At 43.2% G+C, this 27187-nt stretch overlaps 1 protein-coding gene across 1 annotated transcript in view, besides 3 other annotated features; it reads left to right on the forward strand.

The window, feature by feature from the left end:
• HS3ST4 (heparan sulfate-glucosamine 3-sulfotransferase 4) overlaps positions 1-27187 on the forward strand; it is a 445727-nt gene that overhangs the window by 256372 nt on the left and 162168 nt on the right. The window lies entirely within an intron of this gene.
• Positions 125-648: an enhancer, noted in NCBI's record as "NANOG hESC enhancer chr16:25959776-25960299 (GRCh37/hg19 assembly coordinates)". NCBI's record gives its function as "activates a minimal SCP1, AML or CMV promoter by ChIP-STARR-seq in primed H9 embryonic stem cells {active_cell/tissue: H9 hESC(primed)}" and the evidence as "EXISTENCE:reporter gene assay evidence [ECO:0000049][PMID:30033119]".
• Positions 2169-3022: an enhancer, noted in NCBI's record as "OCT4-NANOG-H3K4me1 hESC enhancer chr16:25961820-25962673 (GRCh37/hg19 assembly coordinates)". NCBI's record gives its function as "activates a minimal SCP1, AML or CMV promoter by ChIP-STARR-seq in naive and primed H9 embryonic stem cells {active_cell/tissue: H9 hESC(naive and primed)}" and the evidence as "EXISTENCE:reporter gene assay evidence [ECO:0000049][PMID:30033119]".
• Positions 3023-3875: an enhancer, noted in NCBI's record as "OCT4-NANOG-H3K4me1 hESC enhancer chr16:25962674-25963526 (GRCh37/hg19 assembly coordinates)". NCBI's record gives its function as "activates a minimal SCP1, AML or CMV promoter by ChIP-STARR-seq in naive H9 embryonic stem cells {active_cell/tissue: H9 hESC(naive)}" and the evidence as "EXISTENCE:reporter gene assay evidence [ECO:0000049][PMID:30033119]".

Raw genomic sequence — 27187 nt, forward strand, 5'->3', positions numbered from 1 at the left:
TAGTTATATGCAATTTTTTTTTTCAGAGCATTTTGGATTTTAGGCTTCTGGATGAAGGTTGTTGGCTGGTGTTAGCTTTGCAATGTGATGGGGCCGTGCATCTTCCCCTGTGTGTGTTCTCCTCTTGAAATGCACTCGACCCCTCTTCATGTATAAATTCCAGTCATACATGGTCCCAGCATCACTGCTTTCTTTGACTATCTCTCATCCCCCAAGCTGGAAATAATTTCTCCTGTTGCTGCATTCTCACAATATTGCCCAGTCTGTACCCCTTTGTTCTAATCACTTGTATTGATTCTTGAGTTTAGGTATGGTGTAAAACTCCAGGCATTCCGTAAATGTTCTTTGATTCTGATGCTAAATGCCACTATCACCTAGTTTCTTTTCTTATGCCTAATGCTGATGGCTGCTGCAGTAGTCATCATCATGGTACCTACTGAGCACTTATAGTGACAAAACCACTCTACGGAGCACTTACACTCACCACCTGACGTGACCTCCGTGGCACTGTGCAGCAATGCCGTTGTTAAGCATATTTTACAGATGAGGAGACTGAAGCAAAGCAAGACTTAATATCTTGCCAATTCATAAATTCTGGGGTCTGAGGATGATAACATTGAACTAACAATCAGCCCAGAGACTTTGCAGATGATATTTATGACTCCCTCAGATGCAGAACAGCTGGGTCCCACTGCTTTTTGGAGCAAGTGTTATCTGGTAATTTTTTTTTTTAAAGTATTTTTAGTTTTCGTGGGTACATAGTAGGTGTATGTATTTATGGGGTAAAAGAGATTTTTTGATATAGGCGTGCAATGTGTTTATTACACATCGTGGAGAATGGGGTATCCAACCCCTCAAGCATTTATCCTTTGAGTTACAAACTATCCAGTTACACTCTTTAAGTTATTTTAAAATGTACAATTCATTTATCATGACTATAGTCATCCTATGGTGCTCTCAAATACTAGGTCTTATTCATTCTTTCTAACTATTTTTGGTACCCATTCACCGTCCCCACCTTACCTCCACAACAGCTCCACCACTGCCCTTCCCAGTCCCTGCTAACCATCCTTCTACTCTCTATGTTCATGATTTCTAGTGATGTTTTTGATTGAACAAGTGAATGTTCTTTTCCACTGGGACCTTTCTTTTATGGCATCTGTGTGTCAGAGGAAACCAGAGCTGGACAGAGGCTGAAGTGGTGAAGGTAGATTTGATTTGGGAACTACTGCAATAGGGGAAGAGAGACTTCAGTGTAGAATTAGGCTCTATTATGGCTACAGCATAGACAAGTGGAGATTTGTGGCCAAGGAGCAAGGTGAGGGGTCAGTGAATGAAAAATTACTAAGGAGAAATATCATGAATAAGGGGGATTCTGGCTAAATGGACTCAGCAGGATTCTTGTCGAAGGTGGGACAGGGTGATTGGTTATCAAGGATGGGGAATAAGGAATTTGATCACATATCAAGGGTGGAGGATTTTCACTAAACTGACCAAGCAGGATTCTTGCTAAAACTAGACTAAATGGGTCAAGGACAGAGCCCCAAGGGAAGCCTACTAAAAAATGGGTCCCAGAGGATGCTGGCCGAAGTTTGTTCAAGGAGAGAATCTTGTCCCTTGGGGAGGGTCATCAGGGTCTCCTTGAGCAGCCGCAGTGCGCCCAGTACCTCCTAGTGCACACCCCTTGCAGAAGGAATGTTCAGATTGAGAATTCCTCACAAATTCGCAAATTACCTGTGTCTTACCAGCTTGTGACATCTATTCCCTGACCTAAATTTTGGAGAATGACAGCTTTGGCATCAGTGAGGGCGGTGGGCTGGAGGAAAAAAAATGGAGGCTCTCAAGGGATACAGACTCAATCAATGCCCAGTTAGATGACCCATCTGCTCACTGGCCTTGAGTGGTCCTTTGGCCTGGGTCTTCATCTGCCTTCTTTTCCATAGCTTACTCCCATCAACACACTCAGAGACATCACATCACTCCAATGTAAACTGTAAATGAACAGAGACTGGATCTTAGTCATTTTTGTGCTTTCCCTCCCCAGAATTCTTATAGGGTCTGGCTAATAGGGTATACTCAGGCAATGTTGATTATTTGTTTAAATGAATAATTCATTAATTGGGTGGATGGATAGATCTTTGGATGAATGGATGGTCGGATGGATGAATGAATAAATGAATGAATGAATGGTTAAGTGTCAGACTGCTTGTTTAATGCCATACAGATCCAACTATTTTTTGCCTGAAATGTTTATTTTCAACCAGTTCTGTTGAGTCATTTCAAACACCTGAGACAGTAGCTGTTGCACCATCTCAAGCTGAAGAAGGATAAAGATCTAGGTTTGACACCTGGAGACTGCATTCCTGAGCCCAGGAGGTAAAAGAGCATCGACTTTGGAGTCCCACAGACTTGCACAGCATGTTGCATTGATCAGCTGAGCTTGAGTTCCTTCATCTGCAAAGTAAATGCAATAAGCCCCACCTCCGGGGGTTGTCATGAGGATTAAGTCAAATAACATATGTGATGCCCCTTGACCAAGGCTCAGCATGGGATAGGCACTCCAGGACGCCAGCTTTGATCACTCTTCCTATTATTATTGAAAACATAGTCTGTGGATGAACTCCTCAGTCCACACCCCACTGGGCACTCCTTGTCCTAAACAGCATGTAGACTCCCAGCTGTTTTTGTAGGAAGCAGGGATTATATCCAGGTGCACCCCACTGGGTCTTGAAATTAATCCCTCCTTCTGTAAACACTGACCTCCACCTGCTGCTAGGTCATAGGCCTCCTAGCATCATTTGGTGCTGGGTGGAACTGGAAGCTGAGAGGGGATTTAGATCAGAGGCTGAAGTCAGCAGCAGGCATTCCTACATGAGGCCCCAAGCAATGAATATGCAGCAGGCCAGCCTGCAGCCACTGCCAGTTTTTCCAGAGGGAAGCTGACCTTGGTTTGGTGTCTCTGCTCATCTTCTGCAGAATGCACAGTGCATAGAAACTGGAGTTAGGCAACCTTGGGTGTGAGTTCCTTCTACAATCGAGTTGATATTAGGCACATCACTTAACCTCTCTGAGTTTTGGTTTCCTTACCTATGAAATGGAGATAATAATACATTCCTAAATGTGTCTTGATGAGGATACAAGATAATAAAACACTAACATATTATACTAATTGCAGGAACTGTCACCTGGTACTATACACCCAAATGGCAATTTAAAGAATGTCCAACCTACTTAGCAAAGCTCAGGCATCCTATCTGTATCCCACTTTCTACTCTCTATGTTGCAGACATCAGTACTTCAGCTCTTGGGGTTAAGGTGCGCCAGCCCCAAACTATACTCCAATTCTCTAACTTCTTGCTGCTTTATAACAAAAACAATTCACTGCCATATCCTTTAGCATCTTTTTAAGTGGGAAAGAAAACCAGGGCTCCTAAGCACCAGTTTTCCCAGACACTTTTCTAGACCCTAGACCAAGAGTTGGCAAACTATAGCCTGTGAGTCACATTTAGTCTGCCACCTGACTTTGTACAGCCCACGAGCTAAGAATGATTTTTACATTTCTAAATGGTTGAAAACCACCATGGCACATATTTACCTATGTAACAAACCTGCACATCCTGCACATGTACCCTGGAACTTAAAAAAAAGAATTAAATAAAAAAGAAAAAGGAAAAAAAAAGAATAATATTTTGTAGTACATGAAAATCATATAGAATTCAGACTTCATTGTCCATAAGTGAAATATTATTAGAACACATTCATGCCCAACTGTTTATGTAGTGTCTATGGCTGCATTTGAGCCACAGTGACAGAGCTGAGTAGTTGTAGCAGAGACAGCATGAGTCATAAAGCTGGAAAGATTTATTGTCTGATCCTTTAAAGAAACAGTTTTCCAGGCTTGGTCCAAGGGCGAGCTTTCTTATGGGTCATTCAGTGTAAGTAATGGTCCTTCCCATGGGGTGCAACAGTCCTGGGCCTCAAAACAGTGACTGTTCAGTTGGCTTCCTCCAGGAAAGAAATGGAGTGATATAGGGGGGTATGCAGTCTCTGACCTTGAACACTTTTAGATCATGGCCCTGTGGCCACAGGTAGGCAACTCCATCAGGGGGATTCAAGCATCTGATTGGACAAGATCTTCTCTTAAATCCTGGTGTTATTCTTTACGAGCTCTTAACTTCTCTCAGTCTCAGTTTCTTCATTTGTAAGAAGGAAATTATAATAGTACTTACCTCAGGGGTTATTGTGAGGCTTGAATGGCTTAAGGATCACAGGCACTCAGCACAGGGCCTGGCACATAAAAAGAATTTAAATATGCATTATTAGTAGTATTGTTATTACTATCATTTTCAGTCTGTCTCCTACCTGCTGTGTGAGCAAGGGTGAGTTATCCTATCCACCAAAGCCTTAGTTTCTTCATCTTTAAAATGGTGCCAAACCCGCCTCATACAGGGCTTGGGAATTTTACATGTCTTCATGGATAGTGCATTTCTGCATGCAGTAAGCATTCGATGGATGTTCCTTAAACCTCCCCACTTCCCTGTGACCCTGAAATTCTATGAGTTTGCAGTGTCCTTGGAGCTTCCCAGTGTGGCTGTCACCTCTGGACCCCTCATTTGTTACAAGCCATGTGCCATCCTACATCTTTCCAATGCATCTGTCACGACTCTGTGTGAGTCATCTAGACCTTTTGAGGGCTAGGTTTCTGTATGGCCCTTCTTGGTTATCTAAAATTAAGGTGAAGTAACAGCCAGCTCCAGTGACTTTAATATACAAATTGCATCCTGGCACAGTTTGATGTAGCTGAGCCCTGGCTTGTCTCCCAGGATTGGAGAGAGTGAGTAAGTTATGCTTAGCTTGTGTCGAGGAGCAGGTGGGGAGGCAGGCACCAAGGTGTGATGGCTTCAGGGGCTGCCAGGGAAGATCTTTGTGAAATGCTATTTATGCTTCATCAGGAACCCAAACAACTGCTCGTAAGTCCTCAGCCTACTCCACAAAGCTTTGCTTTGCCTATTTCTTGAACAGTGACAAGCTGGCTTATTATAGCCATTATCCACTTCTTCCTTAGTACTAGAAAGCCTGACCTCACAGGGCATGTGACCATTCAGAATAAGAACTACATCTTCTAGCATCCTTTGCTACCCAGTGAGGCCATGTAAGTTCTGCCCAATAGGGTGTAAGCAAAGGTATCCTGGGAAACTCCCTAGAAATATTCTTTAAAGGGAGGGGACCCACCCCTTTTCATTGCTTTCTCTGTCCTCCTGGGTGAATGGGGATGAGATGGGTGGAGCATGAGTGGCCATCTTAGACCATGTCATAAATTGGATTCCCTCTGAAGAGCAGACTCTAGAGTTTGAGAGCAAGTGATTTATTTGCCAAGTGGTTCCGGGAAGCACTGGTAAGGTCAGGAGTGAGAAAGTGAGGCAGGAAGGGAAGGATGCCAATTCTGGGTGTGTTCATGAACAAATTATATTGGATCCATCCTGCTGGGGAACTCTGGTGAACTGTGCAGCACATACTTCAGAGTTGTCCACCTTGAAAGGTGAGGGAGCTGGGGTATTTATACACCCAGTTCTGTCTACCATTGATTGAGGGGTGCTCCTGCGGGTGCTACCTCTCTGGCACTTCCAGTTTCCTTTTCGTGGACTGAACACCCAGCTCAGCAGAGAAAGGGGAAGAGTCTCAGGTGCTTGCAAAAAGGAGCTATCTGAATGTTTAGAAATGGTGAATACTTAGGGGATATAGGAGAACTGGCAGCAATTGCTACAGACCAAGAGGTTGAGCATGCAGAGCAAAATGAAAGAAGTGCTTTGCTCCTTGCTGACTGTGAGACCATCAACCCAGGTTTGGATGGCTTATCTTTAGACTTTGTGTCAAAGAAAAAGAATTAACTTTTTAAAAGCCAGTGTTCAGTTTTCTGTCACTCAAAGCCAAACCTAATCCCAAATGCTGCATCACATAGTAATAATGATAGTAAAGGCAACTAGCTTGAATCTGCTTACCTGTTTATTATCCCTCTTCTCCTCCCTTTCTACCCCTGCCAAACATAAGCTTTACAACAGAAGAGACAGAACGGTTTCTAGCTGCTTGATCACACTGACCACTCCTTAATAGGGTGTCTGATACATAGAAATCACTCAGAAAATATTTATTGAATAAATGAATAAATAAACAACAAAAGAACAAAACATAAAAGAAAAAGAAGCCAAGATTTGAACACTGATGTCTGATTCCAGTTTCCCACCTCTTAATCACTATGTTATAGTGAAAATTTAGAAATCTTATTTTATAATTGGTTGAAAGAATCCAGTAAAATTAAGCATCCCAAATCCAAAAATCCAAAATCCAAAATGCTTCAAAATCTGAAACTTTTTGAGCACCAAGGTGACTCTCAAGGGAAGTGCTCTTTGGAGCATTTTGGAGTTCAGAATTTTGGATTTGGGATGCTTGGCTGGTAAGTATAATGGAAGTATTCCAAAATAAAAAAAAATCTGAAATATTTCTTGTCCCAATCATTTCATATAAGAGATTCTCAACCTGTCTAATGCCAGAGAGCCTGAGTCTTGGCAAAGACAGAAGCCTGGGATGAGAGAGACCAATGAATATGCTTATGAAATAATTTTTATAAAAATCAACATGAAGAGCTGAGTTAGAGGCTTGAAACAAAGGTCAGTGGCAGCTTTTCACCTAGAAGCTCTGTAAATGTCAATGCTAACTGAGAGAATGGGTGGTCCCATGCAGGGTGTTGGTGTCTAGCAGGGTGACTCTGGGAACAAGGTATTTCGGTAAACTCTGCTACATCCCTCCCTTGTCATTCAAAGCTCCTCTTGAGTTGCTGAACCTGTGACCAGAAAACCTTATAGGTACCCTGGACCTCTGGTGCAGTGGTATTTACCCTAGACTTGTTCAAAGAGAGGCTAGTTGGCAATGGGTCAGGGATGCTGTAGAGGGTTATGGCACTAGGCTAGGGGACAAGACAAGACAGCCTCTGCATAATGTCCTAAAGGTGCAATAAACCTCGTCAGTTGCTTTATAGCCTTCAGAATGAGTTTCTAATCCACAATTGGCAAGTACCTTTTTTCTTAGTGCAAGTTTTCATTCTTGACAGTTGGTCTCCTGGAAACCCATAAAAGTTAGAGTTTTAAGCAATTGCCTTTACTGCTAACACTTCCAATGAATTTCCCAGTAGGAACCTTTATGATAGTTCTGCAAATATATGAGTATGCAAATTATAGGGATCTGTGGGCATCATGCTAACCCCCATGCTCTGAGAACTTGACCACAAGTTTTTCAGTGGCATCTGTGTTCCCAGGGCACTTCAAATAATATAATATCATTCATGTATTCATTCAACAAGCATTTATAGGAGTGGTTGGTGTGTTTTAGGCACTAGATGGTAGAAAATGATACCAGTGTGAGTAAGACATGGTTCTGTAGCTTGCAGTGTTTTGGGAGAAATATACTCAATTATATTACAATGTGATGTATACTTTTTTTTTTTTTTTAAGTGGGAGTCTTGCTCTGTCTCCCAGGTTGGAGTGCAGTGGTGCGATCTCGGCTCACTGCAACCTCCACCTCCTGGGTTCAAGCAATTCTCCTGCCTCAGCCTCCCAAGTAGCTGGGATTACAAGTGCCTACCACCATGCCTGGCTAAGTGTTTTGTATTTTAGTTGAGATGGGGTTTCACTATATAGGTCAAGCTGGTCTTGAACTCCTAACCTCAAATGATCTGCTGGCCTCAGCCTCCCAAAGTGCTGGGATTACGGGTGTGAGCCACCATGCCCAGCCAATGTGTACTTTTTAAAGGTATGTAGAGAAAAGAGTGACTAAATTCACCTGAAATTTAGAGATGCATCCTCTCGTCTTATTCTTCAACAACATGAAACATTGTTTGCCATTTTTCAAATGCCTCCATGATTTCGTTCATATTGGTCCCTCGCCCTAGGCACCTTCTTTTCACTGCTGTCTTAGCAAAGTCTTATTCATACTTCAAGGCTATAGCAGCCCATGTTGGTAACCTACCCAGAAGTTGTTCTTGTTTGCTCTATGTTGATAGAATCTTATTTAGGGGACAAGACAAGGATGCCCCTTTTTACCACTTCTATTCAACCTAATACTCAAAGTCCTAGGCAGATCAGCTAGGCAAGAGAAAGAAATCTAGGGCATCCAAATTGGAAAAGAGGAAGTCAAACTACTCCTATTTCCAGTGATATGATCTTATACCTAGAAAACTCAAATACTCCTCCAAAAGATGTGTAGATTTGATAAATGAATTCAGTAAAGTCTAATGTTACAAATCATAACTTATGCTTTTATATGGCTGCATGTGGACAATAAATTCTCAGCTGGGGAAAAAGAAAGGAAAACCTGGTTTAAAAGCATGGGTTTTGGCTGGGCGTGGTGGCTCATGCCTGTAATCCCAGCACTTTGGGAGGCTGAGGCGGGCACATCATGAGGTCAGGAGATCAAGACCATCCTGGCTAACACGATGAAACCCCATCTCTACTAAAAATACAAAAAATTAGCCAGGTTTGGTGGTGGGCGCATGTAATCTCAGCTACTTGGGAGGCTCAGGCAGGAGAATGGTGTGAACCCGGGAGGTGGAGCTTGCAGTGAGCCAAGATTGAGCCACTGCACTCCAGCCTGGGCAACAGAGCGAGACTCCGTCTCAAAAAAAAAAAAAAAAAAAAGCATGGGTTTTGTGTTGAGTCTGGGTGGATCTGGAGACAAGGAGGCTACTACAATATTTCAGTGGAGAGACGATCAGAGCCCAAAGAGAGTGGTGAAGGCAGGAAGAGGCTGGAGAATGATGACTCCAGTGCTTTGCGGTCAGGGCTGGCCACAGTTGCTCACTGATGGCTTTTCCAAAGGCCCTCTGATTCCTCCTTTAGAAAAAACCTCCCCCATGTTTCAGCCACATAGCACAGCAGCAGCTTGAACCCCTTCCCCTGCCTCTTCTCTGGCAAAGGCCTGGAAAGGAAAATAGTTGCATGTGATTCAGAGCGGTGAGCACATTACTGCACAGATTTGTTTAATTAAATTTTATCTGCAGCAATGTAGCCTATGAAAGATCAGTGAACCTTCATAGCTCTCTCTCTCTCTTTTTTGAGATGGAGTTTTGCTCTTGTTGCCCAGGCTGGAGTGCAATGGCGCGATCTCCACTCACTGCAACCTCTGCCTCCTGGGTTCAAGCAATTCCCCTTCGTCAGCCTCCCGAGTAGCTGGGATTATAGGCATAGGCCACCACTCACCGCTAATTTTTTGTATTTTTAGTGGAGATGGGGTTTCACCATGTTGGCCAGGCTGGTCTTGAACTCCTGACCTCAGGTGATCTGCCCGCCTCGGCCTCCCAAAGTACTGGCATTACAGGTGTAAGCCACCGCACCCAGCCCTTCATAGCTCTCTTAATGCATGCACTTTAAATCACAAAACTTCTACCATGAATAAAGGAGACTTGTTGTTTGGCTCAGTTTGGTGTTTTCTGGGAGCCTGCTCTGAATTCTTGAGATACAGGTAGATGTGGAGACAGACAGTTGGCTGCTGGCTGGTGTGGGGATCAACAGGTGGCTGTTGGCTGGTGTGGGGATCAACAGGTGCTTGTGTTTCCTTAGACTCTTCTTGTAAGGAGGTCTCACACTACTCTCCAGCCAGGAAGGGTTGTTTCAGGTGTGTGTGCTACGGGTCAGGCAGAGTGAAGCTTGCTCAAGGTCACTGCATACTTCTTTCCACTAGGATTCTTTGCATACCTACTGTGTGCCAACCACTGTTCTAGACTCTGGGTACTCCACAGGGACTAAGCCCTGGGACTCGCATTAGGAAGAGAGAGAAATATTGCAGCAATAATAAATGTTCAGATAAATAACTGTTGTTATAAGGCAGATGCCATGGAAACTTTGGTTATCTTTGCTGCGTAAGAAATCACCCTGAAACTTAGTGTCTCAAATAATAACAGTCATATTTTTGTTGATGATTCTGCAATTAGAACAGAGTGAAGTTAGGAAGACTTTTTTCTTTTTTTCCTTGAGAAGGAGTCTTGCCCTGTCACCCAGGCTGGAGTGCAGTGGTGTGATCTCGGCTCACTGCAACCTCTGCCTCCTGAATTCAAGTGATTCTCCACCTCAGCCTCCCGAGTAGCTGGGACTACAGGCGTGCACCACCACACCCGGCTAATTTTTGTATTTTTAGTAGAGACGGGGTTTCACCATGTTGGCCAGGTTGGTCTCGAACTCCTGACCTCAGGTGATCCACCTTCCTTGGCCTCCCAGAGTGCTAGGATTACAGGCATGAGCCACTGCGCCTGGCCAGAAAGGCTTTTCTTTGTTCTATGTAGTGTCAATGGAAACAGTCCATCTGGGGCTGGAGGATCTACTTGTAAGGGTCTCATTCACAGGCTGACAAACCAGTACTGGCTTTCAGCTGGGAGCTCAGTTGTTGGAGGGTAGTTCTCTTCCACGGAGCTTCTCCTCATGGCTGGTGTTGGCTCCTCACAGCATGCTGGTTTCAGGGTCATCAGAAGTCTTACAAGGTGGCCGACTTCCCTCAAGGCACAAAAGCAGATGGTGCCAAGCCTTCAAAATGTGTGATCACTGACATCCCAGAATGTCACGTTCACCACATTGTATCGTAACCATAATAAGTTCATTGCACAATGCACACAGCAAGTCAATACACTGAGACATGGGTTGCAGTAGAGAAAGAGGTTTAATCATAAGGTCACCACATGAGGAGTTGGGAGTGAATCTCAAATTCATCTCCTCAAGGAATTTAGGGTTAGGATTTTTAAGGGTTTTGGAGTGGGCCGAAGTGTGGAGATTGTTATTTATTGAAGAGTGCCGGGTGAAGTCATGGGACAGGGTAAGGAAGAAGCTGTGTTCTCAACCTGATCCCGTTCCTCTTGAGGGGAGGAGGGCTTCAAACTGGTTGCCGAAAGTTGGGTCTGAAAAACATTTTAGACAATCCTTAAACAAAAGCCTTATGAGTCTAATGTCAGAAATCCTATCTATAGGAACAATGAGGATGCAATGTCAGTATCCAGTGCTATGTGACTTTTAGCAACAAGGAAGTGGGGCAGAGTGCAGCCTGATTAATGTTTAATCATAACTACATCTCTGTCCAGAACCCGGCATGCAATTCTTGTGAACCCCATAGGGGTGGTTTTACAAAGAAGTCACTGAGCCAGCACAGAGTCAAGGTGCAGGTAACTAAACTCTATCTCTTCATGGGGAAGTGGCCAGATCACATTGCAGAAAAGCCTGTGAAAAAGGGGCAATTTTTGTTGCCATCCTTGAAAATATAGTTGCCTACAGGAACACAGAAAGCGTACATCTCTAGGGAGGGTATCTAGACTAGGTATGATGTGGTTTGGATATTTGTCCCCTCCTAATCTCATCTTGAAATGTGATCCTCAATGTTGGGGATGGGGCCTGGTGGGAGGTGTTGGATCATGGGAGTGGCTCCCTCATTACCTTGGTAATGAGTGAGTTCTTGCTGTATTAGTTCATGCAAGATCTGGTTGTTGAGTCTGGGGTCGGGCGCAGTGGCTCACACCTGTAATCCCAGCACTTTGGGAGGCCGAGGTGTGTGGATCACCTGAGGTCAGGAGTTCCAGACCAGCCTGGCCAACATGGTGAAACTCCATCTCTACCAAAAATACAAAAAGTTAGTGGAGCATGGTGTTGGGTGCCTGTAATCCCAACTACTTGGGAAGCTGAGGCAGGAGAATCACTTGAACCCAGGAGGCAGAGGTTGCAGTAAGCCGAGATCATGCCATTGCACTCCAGCCTGGGCAACAAGAGTGAAACTCCGTCTCAAAAAAAAAGAATCTGGGACCTTCCCCATTTCTCCCTTGCTCACTCTCTGGCCATGTGACATACCTGCTCCCCCTTCTCCTTCCATCCTGAGTAAAAGCTTCCTGAGGCCTTACCGGAAGCTGAGCAGATGTGGGTACCATGCTTGTACAGTCTGCAGAACTGTGAGCCAAATAAACCTCTTTTCTTTATAAGTTACCCAGCCTCAGGTGTTTCTTTATAGCAACACAAAATGGACTAGTACAAGGTACCTTAAAGGAGAATAGAAAATATAAACACTGGGATTCAACCCAACTCCTAAAGTGGTTCTGCGTGATTCATCATCACAGTTGTTTCTCACATACTACTTTTCTCAATAAAACAAATGAGGAAGGAACCTCATTCTCTGGTGAGTCCAGAAGATGATTAGTTTGAGACCCAGTATCTGTCTCATCCTGGAAGAACTGTGCTACAAATTCTTTGGGGTTTGAAATTGGAAGGTCTAAGTTACATGTCCACTTTGGCTACAGACTTGCTCTATGATCTTGACTCAGTGGTTTTATATATCAGAGCCTGGGCTTCCAGATCTTGCAATAGAGACAATTTCAGTAATATTAGCAAAATGTAGAGTTTCTGGGGAGTTCAAAATGAGATAATAAATGTTAAAAATCAGAGTGATATTTTGTATGTTTGCCTTGCTTAGCCTGAAACCCTCTTTATGTGCTCTTGAAGGAGATATAAATAAAGGAAAATCTGTGCAAGGAAACATGGGTAGAAATTGCTAACTGGAGGTAGGAAGGTGAGAAGGCTCAATCCCCAAACTCACTGCTGAGAACCTCAGAGAATTAAGCTGGAGCATTTGAACTATTGCCTTCTCCTCATTCCCACTCCTACCTCTTCTGATAGTCCAAAGTATACTTATTTCGTTACATAGACTGGCATGTTCTGAAATAACTGGCCTCAATGCAGTCTCTGGGACAGTTTAATATATCTTCCATCTTCCATGTGTTTGGAAGAAAGGAGAGAGCAAGATCTGTTCTCTTCAGCTAATCTATTACGGTAGCCACAACCAACAGCAAAAGTGTCCCAATATGTATCCTGGGATCTGCTGAATGCATACTTACTCCTTCTGTGTGGAAGGCAGGAGAATGTTAAATGGAGGTAAGAAGAGAAGAGAAGTAGGAATGTTTCTCTTCCCCAGGCTAACCATGATATGAAAATGCTGAAAGATGTCCATTAGTACCTTATTGCATCTTTGGCATTTGCAACTCATGCCTTTTATGCATTTCCAAGTCATATTCCTTCTGTCTCCACTCATGTAGATTCACACTCATGTGATTTATTCATTCATTCCTTTCTAAAAAGTGTATTGAGCACTTACTTGGTGCCCTATCTCTTGCCAGACAATGGGCCTATGAACATGAACATAATGTGTTTTCTGCTTTCAAGGAATAATACCATGAGAATTACTAATAACTATACAGAGTGGGTTCCTTACTTGCAATAAGCAACAGTGTGTCGGAGGGTAACTCCAACTCATCCCAGTTCAAACATAGGAGTCCCAAGCATTATTTTATTCAAATATCAGAGAAACCTGGTGAGATAAATTCATTACTAAAAAGGAAAAAATTGATGCACAGGTAGATTGTGGAACTTGTTCTGGTCACACTACAAGCCAATGAAAGAGTTGGACAAAAAAAAATTAATGACCTAAAATCATAAAACTTACACTTAAAGTTTCTTACTTAGAAAGTTCATGTGATTAACCTCTATTTTATACTACTGTCTAGCTCCCAATTATGTATGCACATTTTCTCTGAAACTGTGAAGAACAAGTATGCTAGATAAGATGATACTGTTGATATTTAGATAATAAAAATCTTTAAGCTTTGAGATAATTTGCAAGCTTATTGGTTACTAATTCTCTTTTTAGCCAGGTTGTAGTATGTGGTTATAAAAAGAAGGAAATTGCAGACAAGTAGGCCTTGAACACACCCAGTAGCCTCTTTAGAAGAACTTTTGGTATGGGCAGCTCTTGTATACACCCAGGGAGAAAACAAGGTACGAAGTCATGGATCTCATTCCCAAATATCCAGGGAAAAGGAGGGTTTTTTTCTCGCTGTAGGGGTCACTTTAACTGTTGGAACTGATACATCAGGAAATCCATCTTGAAAAATCTTAAGAGAGCCACAGAAAGTATGAGCAAAGTGAAAGAAAAAAGAAAGAATATAAATTCTGGAGCTAGAGAGACCTGAGTTCAAATCCCATCTATGCCATTCACTGGTATGACCTGGGATACATTGCTTATCCACTTTTGCCTCAGTGTTCTCATCTTTAAAGTTGGCATAATGACTACATTTTAGTCAGGGTAATGAATTTGTGCCAGCTTCTGTAAAAAACAAGCCAACAATATTTGTGCCTAACCACAGTAACAATTTCTTGCTTATACTAACTGATGAGTGTCTCACATTTTTCCGGGGTGGCTCTCCTCCAAGCAGTAACTCAGGGATCCAGCCCCTTCATCATTTGGCTCCACTATTTTGGAATCTTTAGCCTTGAAGTCCAGCCTTGAAAATAGCATGAAGGTGAGGTGGATACTTAGCCCTCTCAGCCTGGAGTTACACACTTTATTCTGTTCCATTCGGAATAAGATACCTAACCAACCAAACCAAGGCAGGCTGGGAGATGTGGAGGTGTCATTTGCAAGCACCAAGAGTCTCTCATGTACTTTCTCATAAGTTTATTGTAACTAAATAAATTAATGCATGTACGATCACTTAGAACAGTGTCCAGCACCTAATAAGAATTCAACCAATCCTATTACTATGAGTGCCATTACTCCTCCTACTGCCACTACCTACTACCACCCAAGATGTAGAGGAAGGTGTATTTATATCAAAACGAAGAGAATGCCAGGGTTAAATTCTGAAGCAGGGGTAGCAGAAGAAAAAAATTAAATTAAATTAAATCCAGTCTAGAAAGCAATGGTGGACTTTTGAGCAAATGTAGAATCACTTACTTGATGTCACATTGACATCATCCCCGTATCCCAAATTGTAGGAAGAGAGATTTAACAGCCTGATTCTTGAACATCCAAACTCAACTCATGAACCCATGCTCTCCCCAATGCAAGGGTTAGCCACATCTGTCTTTTTTTTTCTTGACTAACTCTAGTTCGTCATGTTCCTGATAGCTGAATGTCAAGTCTGCAGTGATTTACTTTCTCCCCCAACTTCTACTTTTTTCATGCCCTCCTTCTTGTGTGTCTTAGACTGACTATCCAAATACTGCTCCCATTGTTAGTCTTGTCTGTATGGCTCTAGAATATTGGGAATATTCCCACTATAAGAAAGAAACTTCAGCCAGTTATTGGTACAGCTAAACCTCAAACTTGCCCTTCTGACTTCCTGTCCTGTTTTCACTCTCTTCCTGGCCTGAGTTTCCCATTCCTCGACAGAACAAATATCTTCAATGATTTTGACACAACAGCATGTACTCCCAAAGGCATTTCATCAGCATTTTACTCTCATCATCAAATAATTTAGTCTTGTAATGTTGGAGGCAAACGTTCTTCCTCTTAGCTCTACATTCTTGTCCTTTGCAGACCTGCAGGTATTTTAGCTGAATCAGGACAGCTTTGCTGAGGATTGACTAATCTTGTGGTGAGAGGGGACGAGCTGGCCAGGAGATGTGGTGTCCATTGTGGGCAGGATTTAATGAAACTGGACCATTCAATATAACAAAATCAAAGCACACATTTTTTAAAAAGTCCCTAAGGCTGGGCGAGGTGGCTCACACTGTAATCTCAGTGCTTTGGGAGGCCGAGGTGGGCAGATCACCTGAGGTCAGGAGTTCGAGACCAGCCTGGCCAACATGATGAAACCCCGTCTCTACTTTAAAAACGTACAAAAATTAGCTGGGCATGGTGGTGGATGCCTGTAATCCCAGCCACTTGGGAGGCTGAAACAGGAGAATCACTTGAACCCGGGAAGAGGAGGTGGCAGGGAGCCAAGACTGCACCATTGCACTCCAGCCTGAGTGACAAGATTGAAACTCCATCTCATAAAAAAAAAAAAAGGTCCCTAGAAATGGGAAAAATAGATACTGGGGCCTACAAGGGGAGGAGTGTGGGGGATGCAGTTTGAAAAACTACCGGTTGGGTACTGTGCTGACTGTCAGGGTGACGAGTTCAGTTGTACTCCAGACCTCAGCAACACACACTATACTCTGCACATGTACACCCAGAATCTAAGAGTTGAAATATAAATATATAGATATAAATAAGTAAATAATAAAAATATGTCCCAAACCCTCTCATCATGAAAGTGTACGTACCATTGAGTACTTACCATGTGAGATACTTGATGTGTTTCAACCTATATAATGCGCAGGGCAACCCTATAAGGTAGGTCCTATTGTTATTCTCATTTTGCAGAGGAGAAAACTGAGGCATCTTTAAATAACCTGCTCAAAGACCCCAGCTAGGAAATGATGGAGCTGGGTTTTGATCCCAGACAAGGCTGGCTCCAAAGCCTTTACGCTCAGTCCCTGTGAATCCTGCCGCTCAGTTAAGGACAATTAATCAGTACAATGATTCTTGTATATTTTTCTTCCAGTTCCGGCCCAGAAGTAAACATTTCCTCATCAGTTCAATCATAGTGTACACATCATTTTGTTTCCTGTAATTTTACTTAACATTATTTTATAAACATTATTTCATGTTGTTAATTATCTTGGTGATATAATGATTAAGTGATGTTCGAGTGTATTATATACATGTAATTTTACTGAACTGGTTACTTAGCCGTTTATTCATTTCATCCCATTTATTCTGCAAATATTTAATAAATACCTCCTATATGCCAGGCAATAGGCTGGGCACTAGGTACATAAAAATAAATTAGGCATATTCTCTTTTCTAAAGGCATTCACATGTTCACGCGAGACATTGTAACAGATAAAAAAGGGTGATGAGTTCAGTTCTGGAGATGCGCACCAAGTATTCTATGAAGAAAAGGAGCTCGGGAGGTGCGGGTGGGAGGATCCCTACCCTACAGTCTCTAAACATCTGGTTCCTTTCAGGGAAGGTGTAGGCAGAGTGAGTGGAACATTGGCCTCAGCATTCGGGATCCTTGGTAAGGCAAGTCCACTCATGAAGCCATGAGCAGAGGGGGCTCTGCTGTTCCTAGGGCCAGAACAGGACAGGAGAATCAATTGAACCTGGGAGGCGGAGGTTGCAGTAAGCCAAGATTGTGCCATTGGGTGACAAGAGTGAAATTTCTTGTCAAAAAAAAAAAAAAAAGTTCCTATAAATGGGAAAAATAGATCCTGGGGACTACAACGGGAGGAGTTTCCTCAGTCAGAACAGCTGAGGTTGTGTGAATTCTCAATGTTTGGTATTTTGTTCCCAAGAATTTATTGAGTCTGCAGCCTCATGCATTTCCTTCTGTGGGTAATGGACTCTTCTGCCTCTGATCTCCATCACTGTCTTCTGCAAAACTCGACCTTGCAAGTCCATTCCTTTTTATCATTCGTGTGTCTTCACACATCTTATGAACTGAAAAATTTCCTTCTCATGTCCCATGTCATGTTCACCTATCTGTACTGAGTTAAGACATTTTATTCTTTACCCAGAATCATAATGAACAAAATACTTACAAATATACTTGATTGCAACATTATGTCTTTTTACATATAGAACTCTTCACAAGGACCTCCTCTGTACATAATTAATTAATTAATGTTTTTGGAGACAGGGAATTGCTGTGTTTCCCAGGCTGGTCTCGAACTCCGTTGCTCAAGTGATCCTCCCACCTGGGCCTCCCAAAGTGCTGGGATTACAAGTGTGAACCATTGCACCTGGCCCCATGTTGTTTAATTTAACATTGTATCTCTACTTTGAAAAATGGTAACTAACATTTGTTGAGAGCCTTCATATACCATATCATGACACTATTCTAAATGCGTTATATGGAGTATCTCATTTAATTTTCATAGGAATCCACTAAGATGGCATGATCATTGCTTCTACTTCACAGGTGTAGCAACTGAGGCCCACAGAGATTAAGGGACATGGCCAAGGTCATATGGCTGGAAAACAATAGAGCTGGCTGTTTTAAACTCATGCAGTTCTGACTTCAGTGCCTGCACACTTGACCATTATGCTATGTCTGCCTCTACTAGGTAATGATATTACAGTTCTTCTCTATTTGAAGGTTGCTGGGGACCAGTATATACCCCAGGAATAAGCCCCTAGAAACCATACTCTGACTCCTGGTACAGCCCATTAGTGTGGCTGTGCCATGCCAAGCATCAAGCCTGCTCTCCTCCCTTGGAAGACTTTGCCTGGTATTCCCACCCACAGGCTGTGACCTGAAGCAACCTGAGGTGCTCTATTGCTTGCCACTGGATTCCTTCTTCTTCATAGGTACCATGAGCTCTTACAGATATTGGCCAGCAGCTGGGGCAGACTGACTTTTGACTAGGGAGTAAACAGGAAGATGAGCATCTGAAAGTTGCTCATCTCAAAGTTTCACTTTGAGTGGTGGTGAGAATTATATCACTGTTCTCTGTTTCTGCTCTCTGCATAGCTTGGTGGCAGGGAGATAGTCTTGCAACATACCTTTGCCCATTCCTACTTAATGTTTGATGGTCGTGGTGGGCAGTGGAGATGGGAGATATGCCTGGAATATGTTGTAGGGCCCTGTAGAAGCAGCAGCTCAGTAAAAGCTCCAGTTCTGAGATGAAGTGGCTGGGCAGACACTGGAGGCAGAAATGCCTCCACATCACTTGGATGGGTATATTTAAAATGTTCTAGAGCAGGAGGTCTCAGCACAGGGTACCCAGGCCTGCAGCATCAGCATCACCTGGAACCTGTTAGAAACACAATTTCTTGGGCCCCAGCCTGGACCTACAGATTGAGGAATTCTGAGGATGGGATCCAGCCCTCTGAGGTGTAAGAAACCCTCCAGGTGATTCTAGTGCAGACATATGTTTGAGAACCACTGATCCAATGCAAGACATGTATTCTATAATTCTTTGTTTTTTGTTTTTTTGAGACGGAATCTCGCTCGCTCTATTACCAGGCTGGAGTGCAGTGGTGCAATCTTGGCTCACTGCAACGTCCACCTCCTGGGTGCAAGTGGTTCTCCTGCCTCAGTCTCCCCAGTAGCTGGGACTACAGGTTCGAGCCACCACACCCACCTAATTTTTGCATTGTTTTAGTAGAGATGGAGTTTCAACATGTTGGCCAGGATGGTCTCATTCTCTTGACCTCGTGATCCGCCCACCTCAGTCTCCCCAAGTGTTGGAATTACAGGCGTGAGCCACCGCGCCTGGCCTAATTCTTATTTTAAATTCAGAAATCCAAAATATTTTGCTTTTTATTTTATAAATCATGCAATGTTCTAGAAAAATTAGGATCTGCGAAAAGAATTTTTTACAAAATTGTCCGCCAGTCTTATTTCTTAGAGGAAGGTATTCACAATTAGGTTTTTGGTATGTTTCTCTCTAGACCATTTCCTATTCAAATCATAATAAGGTTATCACTAGTTTGCCTTAATTTCAATGAGTTGATCTGAGAATCACCTCCTGGACTCAAGTGAGAAGAGAAGGAAGAGGGCAACGGTGAGGTACCTGCCTGGTGGTGGAGCTGGAACCTCTGGGAGAGGAGGGTGGAGTTTGTGACTCTGAGAGTTCCTGTGCCAGCTGTGGGCTTGTGGGTGGGAGAGGAATTGGATAGAGCCCTGGAGTCAGGAGGTGCTTGCAAAGCTGCCTTAAAGGCAGTGACCTCAGAAGCTCTAATCTGCCTGTGACTATGTTACCCTCTCTATCATTCTCATTAGATGGGATAAGACTAATGTCAGCTCAGAAATCATCCCAATGATCAAAATATGTGAAGGGTTGTCATGGGGGAGAGGGATTATTCTCTCAGTGATCACAGGAGAAGTGGGAGGCTCTTTCAGGGGAGGGAAGGGAGAGGGAAGGATGCTGGCTGGGGCAGATTTTAACTCAGGGCCAGAAAGAGTCCTTGCAATCAGAATGAACTGATGATGGAAGGACTGCGGGCGGAAGCGGATGGAGCCCCTGGCCTGAGACTTGTTCTTCCTGAGGATGAGTTGCAGATGGACATCATGCCAGCAAATGTGGCTGCAGGTGTGCTCTGTATGGCCAACACAGTGCGACATTTAAATCTGGAAATTTCACCTAAAATCCGGATGTCTGGTGTCTCTGGACGATCAGGACCTCTGGAAACCCAACTGTCATCTTTCCATGAGGCAATGCACCATGAGGGTTGAGCCGTGGTCGCCCCTTAGATGAGGCACGTGCACTCCAATTTGCTGCCCCCATCATTTGCTCTTATTTCTGTGATGCTGACACTGAGTGACAGGTGCCAATGATCATTTCCTGTGTGTTTCTATTTTCCTGCATTCAGCCTCCTTCATGTATCCGTATCAATAAGTAGCACAATGTAGTATTTAAGAGAATGGGTTCTAGATCCAGTTTGTCTGGGTTCACAGGCTGTCTCTGTCCCTTACAGGCTGTGTGACATTGGACTAATTAGTTAATCTCTCGCACATTGTATTTCTTCAACTTTAAAATTCATAAAATAAGCTTGCCAGGAGGAGGAGTTGATGTCTTAATACAGGTAAGGTGCACAGAACAGTGGTAGTCAGTTACCATCAACAAAATTTTTGTTTGTTTGTTTTGTTTTGTTTTTTCCCCAAGATGGAGTCTTGCTCTGTTGCCCAGGCTGGAGTGCAGTGGCATAATCTCAGCTCACTGCAACCTCTGCCTCCCGGGTTCAAGCAATTCTCCTGCGTCAACCTCCCGAGTAGCTGGGATTACAGGTGCATGCCAAGACATCAGGCTAATTTTTGTAATTTTAGCAGAGACGGGGGTTTCACCATGTTGGCCAAGCTGGTCTCAAACTCCTAACCTCTGGATCCACTGTCTCGGCCTCCCAAAGTGCTGGGATTACAGGCGTGAGCCACCATGCCCAACCCAACAAAGGTTTCAATTGTCACTACTAGTGATAGCTATTACTACTGCTATCCACTATGTATAATAGATTACATTATATCCCTTCTGTGTGAATGTTTGAGTTACTGACTACTGATTTAGTGTCCTTTAGTGTTTCTCTTTTGCTCTCATACTGTGGGCCCAGTGTTTTTGGAGCAAAACATGGGGCAGTTCCCTGGCTGGAATAGACATTTTATTCCTTGAGACAGACAGTTTTCTCAGATCCTGGCCACGTTGAGGATTTCAGCTTAACTGATTCAAGAATAGTGCTATCCAGCGCTGCTGGTGGCGGTCCTAGCAATCCGCTTGTACAGAGCTCGTGGGGGTGGAGGCACAGTCTGAAGTGTGCGTATAAAAGTTCATTGCGAAACAGTCAGTGAACATCACGGCATTGTGGTTAACTGGGCTGTAGACCTTTACTCAATTCCAGCTGCTCTTTGTCTGAGATATGGCCTGGGACAACTCTCTTAGCATCTCTGAGAGTCAGTTTTTTCATGAGTAAAATGAAGGCACTGGTACCTTACGGGCTCATGTCAGTGTTGAATAAGGTGCATGCATGTAGGAGGCTGGCATACTGCAGATGTGGCAGTTTTGTGCCCCTTTTCCTGTTTCCTAAGGGAAAATGAAGGGCCGCCCATGGCATGAACTTGGACTTGAGTTTGTCCTCTTCTGATAAGGAGCAGATGGTCCCCATTTCAGATCATCCAGGAGCCTGGGAAGATGAGCTGGTTATTCAGTGTGAGCTCTGTTATGGTCATGTGCCCTGAGTTCAGACAGCAGTCTGGGGCTTTCCCAGGTACAAAGCTTTGTCTCCAATCCTGGCCCCAAACACGAATGCTGCTCCTAGTGCCTAGAGCAGTGGCTGGCACAGTCAGTAATTGTGGACTAAATGAATGCATGGGGAAATAAATGGATAGTACTGTTAGTGTCAGCAGTAGACAGGACAAAACACCCTAATTCTAAATGTGAGCACAACTCCCTTCTCCAATCATTTATACAGCAGGTGCGAATGCAAGGACAGGCCAAGAAACGGCCTTTGGAGTCTAAAGCGATGAATTCTGCAGTTTGCACTCTGTGTGAATTGCATGGGCTGCATTACCTGTCCAAGCCTGACTTTGTTTTGCAAGATGGAAATGGGACAACCAAACTGTTGTGGGGATTAAACGTGATTTTAGGACAAGACCTTGAACATAATAAGTGCTCAATAAATATTGGTTTCCTTTGCCCCTCCATTATTTTAAAGTGAAAGGAGAGTTGTGGCCTATGAATAATCATTTTTATACATGAATTAGTAAAGAACTCATGGTTAAATATATCCCTGTGATAATCCTCATAAACTTATTTCATTCAATCATTCACTCATTCATCCATTATTTTTTCTCTCTCTCTTTTTTTTTCAGGGTCTAGCTCTGTTGCCCAGGCTGGTATGCAGTGATGTGATTATAACTCACTGTAGCCTCAACCCCCTGGACTCAGGCAATCCCCTTGTCTTAACCTCCTAGTTGCTAGGGCTATGGGAACATGCCACCATGCCTGGCTAAGTTTTTAATTTAAAAATATTTTTGGTAGAGATGGACACTTGCTTGTTGTCTAGGTTGGTCTCGAACTCCTGGCCTCAAGTGATCCTCCTGCCTTCACCCATTTTTTTCTTTCATTTATTCATTCATTCATTCCTTTCACAGGGGCACCCTTTACATGACACCTTTTGTACAAGCATCCTTTCTTTCTTTTTTTGAGATGGAGTCTCACTCTGTCGCTCAGGCTGGAGTGCAATGGCGTGATCTCGGCTCACTGCAACCTCTGCCTCCTGGGTTCCAGTGATTCTCCTGTCTCAGCCTCCTGAGTAGCTGGGATTACAGGTGTGTGTCACCATGCCTGTCTATTTTTTGTATTTTTAGTAGAGACGGGGTTTCACCATGTTGGCCAGGCTGGTCTTGAACTCCTGACCTCAAGTGATTTGCCCACCTCGGTCTCCCAGAGTGCTGGGATTACAGGTGTGAGCCATTGCGTTCAGCCACAAGCATCCTTTCTATGACAAACAATCCCTCTTTGAGGTGCTGGAGATATGAAAATAAATAATACCAACATTTGTTACTTGAGGACTTTACATTCTTTTGAGCCATAAAGAAAACAGTCACCTGCAACATAACTTGATAAGGTGATGTATCTGATGGAAGCCTGCTTCAACCTTGCAGCTGGCACATAATTGCATCATTTCTCAACTCATGCAATCTGTTTTTCACTCACTGTTTATCCTCCTCCCACCCAAACATCGACTTCAGCAAGACAACAGACATTCTTGCAGAGGCTACTTTTTAGTAAAATGCTCTGTCTGGGGCTGATGGTTCAACTGGTGAGATTAATAGTGAGCTCACCATGTTTCTTGGCTCCCTCAGGGCTCAGCAATAGACCCCTTCAGTGAGGGAAGAGAGAAAACTATTCATTCATCAACCTTTCCATCCATCCTTTGTTATTATTGTAGCATTAATAGTCAAGAGTACAGATTCTGGGCAGGGCGTGGTGGCTCATGCCTGTAATCCCAGAACTTTGGGAGGTCGAGGCAGGCTAATCACGAGGTCAGGAGTTCGAGACCAGCCTGGCCAACATGGTGAAACCCCGTCTCTACTAAAAATACAAAAAATTAGCTGAGTATAGTGGCAGGCCAGTGGGCCTGTAATCCCAGCTACTTGGGAGGCTGAGGTGTGAGAATCGCTTGAACCTGGGAGGCAGAGGTTGCAGTGAGCCAAGATCGTGCCACTGGACTCCAGCCTGGGCTACAGAGTGAGACTCCATCTCAAAAAAGAAAGAAAGAAAAAAAAGAGTCGAGATTCTGGACCTGGACTGCTGGGGTTCAAATCCTGGCTCTGCCACTTACTAGCTAGCTACAGGACTTTTCATGAAATTCCTGAGCTGGGCCTTGGTTCCTAGTCTACAAAATGAGGTGGTAAGAGTGGTTGTATTAGCTATTGTTGCTCTATAACAGGTGGCTTTATTAGTTAACTATTGTTTTGTAACAGGTGGTTGTAGTAGCTATTATTGCTGTTTAACGGGTGGCTGTATTAGCTAGCTATTGCTCTGTAACAGGCGGTTGTATGGGCTAGCTATTGCCGCATAACAGGTGGTTGTATTACACAGCTACTGCTGTGTAACAAATTACCCCAAAACTTGGTGGGTTGAAAGAACAACATTTATTATCACACAGTTTCTGTGGGTCAGGAAGCCAGGCACTACTTGTAGGCCTCCCTTAAGGCTGCATTCAAGGTGCTAACCAGTGCAGTTATTTTAGAGCTTGAAGCAGAGCAGCTTCCAAGCTCACTCAAGAGGGTGTTGTCAAGATTCCCTTCCTTGTGGGTTGTTGGACTAAGGGTCTCAGTTACTCCCAAGCTGTTGGCTGGAGACTTTACCTGGTGTCTTTCCACATGAATATCTGCATAGGGCAGCTCCCAACATGTCAGCTTGATTCATCAGAGCAAGTGAGAGGACTTGAGAGAGCGCCAGAAAGACAGAAGGCCCAGGCTTTTGTTACCTAATCTTGGGGATGACATCCCATCATTTTTGCATATTCTATTTATTAGAAGGAAGTCTTTAGGTCCAGCCCACACTCAAGAAGAGGGGATTATGCAGGGTGTGAATGCGAAGAGGGAGGGGGATCCTTAGGAGCCATCAGTGCTGCCAGCCACAGTGGCTGTGAGGATCAAATGAGTTCTGTATGGAATGCATTTAGAAGAGTGTCAGGAACATAGTTTGCACTCAATAACTCTATTAGCTATTATTATTACTACTACTCTGATTATTATTTATGCCATTTTTCCCAGCAAATATTTATTGAGTTTCCTACTGGATCAAATACACCCTTCTCATTGCTGTTGGGGATTATTAGAGGAATGACTGGGAACAGGTGAATTATAAATGGGTTCTTCCTCAAAGAGCTCCCTATGCACTGGGGGATGGATGTTTGTTTAAAAAATAGAGACCACAGAGTTGGAAATGATTGTTGTGCTGTCGGGGGAAGGCAGAGATGCAGAGCTCTAAGGTCCTGGATGTGCACAGGGATTAGCAATTGTTCAACTGGGCTGGAAAGCAGGACACTTGAAGGTTGGAAAATTAGGTTAGTGCCAGATTGTGACAGGAGTTTGGAGTTCATCTCCTATGAAGTGGGAAGCCAGGAAGGATTTTTATGATGAGAAATGCCGTAGGCATAGATGTATGACATAGAAGAAAGGGGACAAGATGGGAGGCTCTAAAGCCACATATTAAAGCTCAGAAAAGAAGACATCTTTCCTGCTCATAACAATGTGGCAGAAGAAAATCCAGTGTGAGAAACCCAACCGTTTCTCCTTCAAGACCCTTCTCCAAGATGTGCCCATGAAGAGTTCACTATTCTTTCCTTCCCAGTCTGTTTCTTTGCCACTGGAAAATAATCACAAGAACTCGGAGCTAATGTTAATAAGCCCTATCCTAGCACTTAGTTCTGTGACCTTGGGCGTGTGGTTTAACCTTTTGCATCTCAATTTCCTCATCTGAAAACGAAATGATTTTTTCCGACCTTGAATACTTTGACAATTACACACATGTGCCCACACCCCCACACAAATGCTGCTATTAATTCGGGACTTTTAAAGAACTTAACAGTTTTATGAGCTTTTCTTACCCCTATTGTATAGGTGAGGAAACTGAGACTCAGGTTATTTGACTTGCTAATAATTGGCAGAGTGCAACCCCAAGCTATTTGACTTTATAGTCCGTGTGCCTAAACACTCTGCTATAGTGTCCAATGTCTAAATACTTAATAAATGGCCCCTCTCCCTCTGCAAACAAGCTATCAGAGTAAAATAAATGTCTGTACGTCTGCATGAGAATTATACATACAAGACACATGCTCGTAAGCAGGGGCAGGTCACACTTAGCCCAGCTTCCTGCCCAACTCTTACCAGAGACAAGGCTCTTACATACGCTTCTTACACGATTGAAAGAATTTCAGATTTATACATTATCCCTAGTTCTTCATAATCTGCCAGCCTCTCTTTCTGAGAACTCACCTTTACATTTCTCTTAGCTGTATTTATCTAATATGCTTTTATCAGCTATCAAGCCATTTGTAACTCTTTTATCCAACACTAGATTTTGCAAATCATCAGAAAGCCCTCCATAGTCTCCAGGATCATTTGTCTCTGAAGCTATTTTTAACGTCCCCTCTGTGACATCTTAGATAGTATTATGGGACATGGAGGTGCTAAGCCGCTTAGCCATTTTTCAACACCATATCCTGGGAAGACCTCTGTTTTGAAAATTGTGTTGAAATTGAGGCTTAAAAACTAAATGATGCAAATTCCCCCAAAGAGGTCCTTTAATCTGGATTTGAGGATGGTAAACATGTCCTGGTTGAGAAGCCAGCAAAGGAAGACACTAGATCCTTAAAGCTCATGACAACAAAGAAACTCTCCCCTTTAGAGGGTGCTTGAGTGCCTTTGAACACAATATTCCAGAAGCATAGCATGGAATGTATCCTCCAAGGGTAGGAAATAACAGGAGTTATCTGTGAGACCAAGCATGATAAGCAATTTTAATTTTCTTTGTATATTTTTCTTTATTTTCTGAATTTTCTATAATGAAAGTATCATTTTTATAAGAACGCATATTTAGAAAAACATGTCATTTTAAGAAATGACACACTTCTGGTTCTTAAATAACTCATAATAGGAGAGCATTGACATATTCCAAATTACAGAATGACATGAAAGTGCCATAATATTTGGACTTAGTGTATGCAAGCCAGACACTTATTTTCTTTTGCTCTTCCAAAACTTTCTCTAATGCTGACTTCCCCATCTCAGTAAATAGCTAATCCAGTCATCCAGTTGCTCTGGTTAAATTCCTTAAAATCATCTTCCACTTCTGCTCTTACCATTTACATCCAGTGATACATCAGCAATCCTGATATTTTGAAAAATATCACCCTGGAATACTACAAAGCTGTAAAAAAGAATGAAATCTTATCCTATGCAGTGATATGGATGCAGCTGGAGGCCACGATCCCATGCAAATTCATGCAGAAACAGAAGATCAAATACAGCATGTTCTTACTTACAAGCAGGAGCTAAACATTGGGTATACATGGACACAAAGAAGGGAACAATGGACACTGGAGCCTATTAGAGGGGGAAGGGAGGGAGGGAGGGGGTTAAGGATGGAAAAATTACTTATTGGGTACCATACTGACTACCTGGGTAGCAGGATCACTCATACCCCAGACCTCAGTGTCACACAATATACCCATATATTCGGCATATTGGTAAGTTTGGGAAGAGCAAAAGAAAATAAGTGTCTGGCATGGCTACATTAAGTCCAAACATTATGGCACTTTCATGTCATTCTGTAATTTG

Source organism: Homo sapiens, chromosome 16 (assembly GCF_000001405.40).
Source record: "Homo sapiens chromosome 16, GRCh38.p14 Primary Assembly".
NCBI classification, from domain to species: domain Eukaryota; kingdom Metazoa; phylum Chordata; class Mammalia; order Primates; family Hominidae; genus Homo; species Homo sapiens.